The following is a 7,504-nucleotide window of genomic DNA, read 5'->3' on the forward strand; positions in this document are numbered from 1 at the left end:
CCCACTGGAAATCCCGAAGGTGATACAAACTCTTCCACCTTAGGGAATCATGCTCACTGATTGAGTGCCTATTGAATGCTAGGTCCCAGAAAGTTAACTGTTGTCCTTGTTTTACAGACAAGGAAACAGAGACTCAGAGATGGTAAGTGAGTTGCTTAAGGTTACATAGCTATGAAACAGGGAAGCAGAACTTTGAACCCAGGTCTGTTTGATACAAACTCAGAGGTCCTTTCACTGCATGCTGTTGCCTCTTTAAAGCGAATTAGGAGAAAGGGCATGGGCCTGGTGAGGAAGAGGCTAGCTCAAAATGGGATGGGGAAAAAGTGTTTTAACACAGACAGTACTTCAGAGTTTGGGATCTAACCTACCAGCACTCCAGAAAACAAAAGATGATGATGTAAAGGCAGGATCTCTGGACTTGCTGAGTCCAAATCATGGCTTGGCCCAAACATTTGCTAAGTAATTTAGGCTTCCTGGCCATTAGTTCCTGGTCTCTTCCATGAAGGACTTGAGCCAGGGTAACGTCCCTATCAGCAATAAGCTTCTGGGACTCTGTAAAGAGTGGGGAGGTAGAGTCCCTGCCTCAGTAGAAGCTGCTTTTCCTACTTGGAACAAACCCACCCTTCACCAGGAATCAAAAGCAAGCTGTCTGAGCCTCCTCTCCTGATGGCAGGTCATGCTATTAAGGGTCTCCCAGAAGAAAGCTTCTGGAGCTCTGAGAAACAGAAGCTCTTCTAACAGAACTTTTTCTTGCTATAAGCTTTCAATACCACCAATCACCAATGTGCCTTCTTCTCATGCGAAAATACGGCCCCTCCTTTGCAGGGTGTAAAATGACACTGATGTCACTCTCTCTCACCAGGGTCTGGCCATCTCTGTGAAGCTCTCCTCACAGGCACCCTGCAGATTCATCAATAAACTTCAACAGGTTAGCGCTAGTAGGCCAATAAGACCTATATTCTAGAACCTGTGAAAGAGATAATAGCCAGAAACTGGCAAACACCAGTCAAACTCTTTAAAAAAATGCCTCTTAGAACACAGTCACTTACACATTTTCCTAGATCTCTTCAGCACCAAGTTTCTTGGAAGAACAAGGCACTCTGCAGTTTTCTTAAAGAATTGTCTGATTGTATTAAGTGGCTTCTGGTAAAACAACAGTAAGAGAAAAGTTCTGGCATTCTCTTGATCACTCATCTTCTCTGCCTTCCTCCCCAGCACCACCTCCTGGCCTCAGCCTGTGGGCTTCTGCAAAGTCAGGTATCAGGACTAATTAGCTAGCATCAAATTCCTGTTAATTCCAGAAGCAGGGACAAACCTGTTGGGGAGGGACTTAATGACAAAATTAGGTATAGGTCTATACGTTAATCAAGGAAAATTCTCTACTTCCTTAAACTTACTTACCACCCTAGAGGAGAGCCAAATCCACTCTGATGACGTTTGGTCATAGGAAGGAAATTGGGGAAAATTACAAGTTTCTCCAATCCATGTAAAATTAAGAAATCCTGGGGAAGTTGTAAAGAGAAAACAGTACCCTATTCCCTTGAAAGGCAGAATAGGTTTATAACTTATAATCGAAGGTCTCCTTCAGGAAGGACTTCTTGAACCCCATATGTCCTCTTACAACACTCCAATATTGCCTGTAAAAAAGTCGGATGGGTCATAGCGGCTACTGCGAGACCTTCGAGCCATTAACCAAATAGTCCAGACCACCCACCCTGTCATTCCTAACCCTTACACCATTATCAGCAAGATCCCTCATGACTGCCAGTGGTTCACAGTAATAGACCTCAATGATGACTTCTGGGCTTGCCCCTTAGCTGTGGATAGCTGGGACATATTTGCTTTTGAATGGGAAGACCCTCATTCCAGTTGGAAGCAATAGTAGTGATGGACAGTTCTACCCCAAGGGTTTACAGACTCTCCAAACCTATTAGTCAAAGTTTGGAACAAGTCCTAGAGAATTTCCCTCTTTCATCATCCTTATGTCTACTCCAATATGTGGATGACCTGCTCATTTCCAGAGGCACCAAAGACCAAGTAACCGCAATTTTAATTAGCTTTCTAAATTTCCTAAGGGAACAATGGTTACGGGTCTCAAAAAGTAAACTCCAGCTTGTAGAACCTGAGGTAAAACACATGGGGCACTTAATAAGCAAAGGTAAGCCGAAGATAGGGCCCGAACAAATGGAAGGGATCATATCCCTGCCACTGCCTGAGACAAAACAAGAACTTAGAAAATTCTTCAGGCTAGCTGGAAATTATTGCCTGTGGATTGACTCTTATGCCTTAAAAACAAAACCTCTATATCTAAAACTTACCCAAGAAGGGCCTGACCCCCTTCTTTGGACCCCACAAGAAGTCCAGCAAGTTGAGGAACTAAAACATCTACTTATAACTGCCCCTGTCTTAGCTCTGCCATCCTTAGAACAGCCATTTCACTTTTTTGTTAATATAAGCAATGGGGCAGCTATAGGAGTACTCACTCAAAAGCATGGGGCCATTGCCAGCCCACAGCCTTTCTGTCAAACATTCTTGACGTGGTAACCTGTGGGTGGCCCGAATGTATCCAATCTACAGCAGCAACTGTTTTATTGACAGAGGAAAGTAGAAAAATAACCTTTGGGGGAAGTCTCATCCTAAGCACACCCCATCAGGTTAAAACCATTCTTAGCCAAAAAGCAGGGAGATGGCTTACAGATTCAAGAATCCTAAAATATGAAGCTATCCTATTAGAAAAAGGTGATTTAACCCTAACCACTGACAATGTGCTCAACCCCGCCACCTTCCTTTTTTTTTTTTTTTTTGAGATGGAGTTTCACTCTTATTGCCCATGCTAGAGTGCAATGGCACAATCTCGGCTCACCGCAACCTTTGCCTCCTGGGTTCAAGCAATTCTCCTGCCTCAGCCTACCAAGTAGCTGGGATTACAGGCATGCCACCATGCCTGGCTAATTTTTTTGTATTTTTAGTAGAGATGGGGTTTCTCCATGTTGGTCAGGCTGGTCTTGAACTCCTGTCCTCAGGTGATCTGCCTGCCTTGGCCTCCCAAAGTGTTGGGATTACAGGCGTGAGCCACTGTGCCCGGCCTACCCCGCCACCTTCCTGACAGGAAATCCAAACGCTGGAGACCCCAAGCACAAATGTTTAGACTTAATCATCAAACTAAAGTAAGGCCTGATCTAAGTGAGACCCCTTTAAAAACAGGGCACCATCTCTTTGTAGACAGCTCCTCTCGGGTAATTGAAGAGAAAAAACATAATGGCTACTCAGTGGTTGATGGAGAAACTCTCACAGAAGTAGAATCAGGGAGACTTCCCAATAACTGGTCTAACCAAACATGTGAGTTGTTCGCACTAAATCAAGCCTTAAAATAGCTGCAGAATCAAGAAGGGACTATTTACACCAATTCCAAATATGCTTTTGGAGTGGCCCATACCTTTGGGAAGATTTGGACTGAACAAGGCCTTATTACTAGCAAGGGCCAAAACCTTGTCCACAAAGAGTTAATCATGCAAGTATTAGAAAACCTTCAGCTACCAGAGGACATAGCCATTGTTCATGTCCCAGGACACCATAAAGGTCTCTCTTTCAAGAGTTACTTCCCAAGAAGCACCCATTTTCCACTGAACCCCTTGTCTCCCTTCCCCATCTGCAACCCCCATCTTCTCCCAAGCAGACAAAGAAAAATTAAAGAAAATAGGGGCTAACAAAAACTCAGAAGAGAAACGGATACTGCCAGATAACAAAGAAATGTTGTCCAAACCCCTAATGACAGAAATCTTAACACAACTTCACCAAGGGACCCATTGGGGTCCCCAAGCCATGTGTGATGCAGTCCTTAGAACCTATGGGTGTACAGGGATTTATACCCTCACCAGGCAAGTCACAGACAGTTGTATGGTATGCAGAAAAACCAATAAACAAACTTTAAGAAAACTGCCCTTCGGCGGAAGAAATCCTGGGCTAAGGCCATTCCAAAGTGTCCAAATTGACTTATACCGAAATGCCCCAAATAGGCTGCCTCAAATGTTTGTCAGTTATAGTGGACCATCTCACTCACTGGGTGGAAGCCATTCACCTGCCAAGTGCAACTGCCAATAATGTAGTTAAAGTACTAATAGAAGATACCATACCCAGATTCAGATTAATAGAGAACATTGACTCAGACAATGGAACCCATTTTACTGCACAGGTCATTAAAGGATTAACCCAGACACTAGAGATAAAATGGGAATATCATACTCCCTGGCACCCACCCTCATCAGGAAAAGCAGAAAGAATGAATCAAAATAAATAAATCACCTAACTAAACTAATCTTGGAAACCCGACTGCCATGAACTAAGTACCTCCCTGTCGCCTTACTAAGAATTCGTATCGCCCCTTGAAAAGATATCGGCCTGTCCCCTTATGAAACGCTCTACAGATTGCCATGCTTAAATTCCACCACTGACATCCCTACATTTGAAACAAAACATCAATTTCTTAAAAACTATATACGTGGTCTATCTTCCACCCTTTTTTCCCTCAGGACCCAAGGCCTCTTAGCACAAATGCCGCCTCTAGAGTTTCCAGTACACCCACATCAGCCTGGGGATTATGTGCTCATCAAAAGCTGGAGGGAGGAAAACTCGAACCATCGTGGGAAGGACCCTATCTAATACTCCTAACAACTGAAACAGCAGCCCGAACGGCTGAACAGGGGTGGACTCATCACACTTGGGTAAAAAGGACCCCACCCCTTATGGAATCATGGACCATCACTCCAGGACCAACTCCCTCAAAATTAACATTCAAAAAGGTCTAATTTGTCTCTTCTTCCCCCTAATTGCCCAGGGGCATTTCATTTTTTTTTTTTTTTGAGATGGAGTCTCGCTCTGTTGCCCAGGCTGGAGTGCAGTGGCAAGATCTCCACTCACTGCAAGCTCTGCCTCCTGGGTTCACACCATTCTCCTGCCTCAGCCTCCCGAGTAGCTGGGACTACAGGTGCCTGCCACCATGCCCGGCTAATTTTTTGTATTTTTAGTAGAGACGGGGTTTCACAGTGTTAGCCAGGATGGTTGATCTCCTGACCTTGTGAACTGCCCGCCTCGGCCTCCCAAAGTCCTGGGATTACAGGCATGAGTCACCGTGCCCAGCCCGCATTTCATTGTTAATGTAACCAGGTCAGCCTCCCCTCAAGCTGTTGTGTTTGATGCTTGCCTAGTCATACCTTGCAGAGACCTACAAAGTCAAAGGCAACTAGCCTCTTCAGAAAAGTATCTTTGCCCTTGGTACTCACCCCACCCTCAATCTGATCCTTGCAAGATTCCCTATAATTGGCTACCTTGCCATTCCTGGTACGATATTCTCTGGACCACTCAGTCCCAAGGCTGGACTTCTTCAGCAGGCTGCACCTCCCTAAAACCTTATATCCATTTTACTAAACAAAATAACTCCTCTAACTGCCAACACCTCCGATGTAACCTGGTGCATATTTCTATTACTACTTCAACCTCCACTAACCATATTCCCACCCTAAGTCGCTTTTATGGTATGGGGCAGATGTTAGCGGGAAAGACCCCATAGGGTCCTTTGAGATTCGTTTTGTCGCCCCTCCAGCACCCCTTCCTTCCCGAAGATCTCCTCCAAATGAAACAACTATCTTGCCACTACCTAATGACAAAACTAAAGTGCACATAGTGGAAGTCAAAGACCTAAAACAAACCCTGGCCATCGAGACCGGACACCAAGAAATGAATGCCTGGCTGAAATGGATCAAATATTCAGTTTGCACTTTAAATAAAAGCGACTGTTATGCCTGTGCAATGGGCAGGCCAGAAATCCAAATAGTTCCCTTCCTGCTTGGATGGTCTAACCAACCGGGCATGGACTGTACAGTAGCTCTCTTCCAGCACCCCACAGCCTGGGGTAATAAGTCATGCACCAGTCTCTCACTGCTTTTCCCAAAAGTCAAAGACTTCCCTGTGGGTCAGCCCCCAAGGGCCATCTGGCTCCTGGCCTCTGATGCCAATTTTACCTCTTGTCTCTCATGACGGGGAAAACTTACATCTTTCAGGAATCTAACGGGATGCAGTGAATCCGAGCCTTTTCGAGAGCTCACCAATCAGACTGCCCTTGTCTATCCACAAGCAGATGTTTGGTGGTATTGTGGAGGACCTCTACTGGGTATGCTGCCAAATAATTGGAGCAGCACTTGCACTCTAATCCAACTGGCCATCTCTTTCACCCTGGCATTTCATCAGTCCGACAAAAAGTCACCCTCTTGGGAAGAAAGAGAAGCTCCTCAAGGGTCTTTTGACCCCCATGTCTATATAGAGGCAATTGGAGTACCACGAGTAGCCGCCAATGAATTTAAAGCTCGAAATCAAATAGCTGCCAGGTTTGAGTCAGTCTTATTTTGGTGGTCTACTATAAACAAAAACGTAGACTGGATAAACTATATATATTACAATCAACAAGGATTTGTTAATTATACCAGAGATACCATTTGGGGATAGCCGAGCAATTTGGTCCCACCAGCCAAATGGCCTGGGAAAACAGGATAGCTCTTGACATGACATTAGCAGAAAACGGCAGAGTTTGTGTAATCATCAGAGCCCAATGTTGTACTTTGATCCCAAATAACACAGCTCCCGATGGAACCACTACCAAGGCTCTACAAGGCCTCACCACCCTAGCAAATGAGCTGGCTGAAAATTCTGGAATAGATGACCCCTTCACAGGTTTAACCAAAAGATGGTTTGGTAAATGGAAAGGACTTATGGCCTCTATCCTCACTTCCCTTGCCATTGTTACAAGTGCACTCATCCTTGTAGGCTGTTGCATCACACCTTGTGTTTGTGGGTTAGTTCAAAGACTCATAGAAATGGCTTGCACTAAAACCTTCTCTGTCTCTCCCCCTCCATATTCAGACCAACTTTTACTCCTAGACAATCAAGAAGAGCAACAAAGCCAAATCTTACTAAAATAATTTGAAGAGGAAGAATTATAACAACAAAAAGGGGGAAATTGTCAGAATAAAAGAAAGGTTCCTCTTCAAAGATCCAACTTTCTTGTCATAGGCTGTAAACCGCCTTGCTCCAAACCTTAACCTGTAACCTTTACCCTCTGCCTTATTTGAGAAAGATTCAAGCGCATAGCCAATTGGAGTCAGCCTAGACTGTGCGGTCCAACCCCAGCCAATGGGGGAAAGACAAAGAAGCAGGAACTGCGTTAGGGTTAGAAACCTGTTCTCCTTTGTTAGGTGTGCTTTTGCGACTGCTATAGGCGCGGGCAGCACCCTTCTGCAGAAGTAAACTTTGCCTTGCTGAGAAACTTTTCTTCTGAGTGCTCCTCTTCCTCTGCGGCACTCAGAAATAAGAGAACTTATTTCTAACAGGAGGAAGAAGACATGATAATTTTGCACACGCAGGTTCTGAGTTTTGGCTGGTGCGCTGAGTGCTTACCATACCGCAAATACTGTGTGATCTGGGCTGAAGAACAGAAAACCCAACTAACAGTGAC

The sequence above is a fragment of the Homo sapiens genome, chromosome 16 (genome assembly GCF_000001405.40).
Source record: "Homo sapiens chromosome 16, GRCh38.p14 Primary Assembly".
NCBI classification, from domain to species: domain Eukaryota; kingdom Metazoa; phylum Chordata; class Mammalia; order Primates; family Hominidae; genus Homo; species Homo sapiens.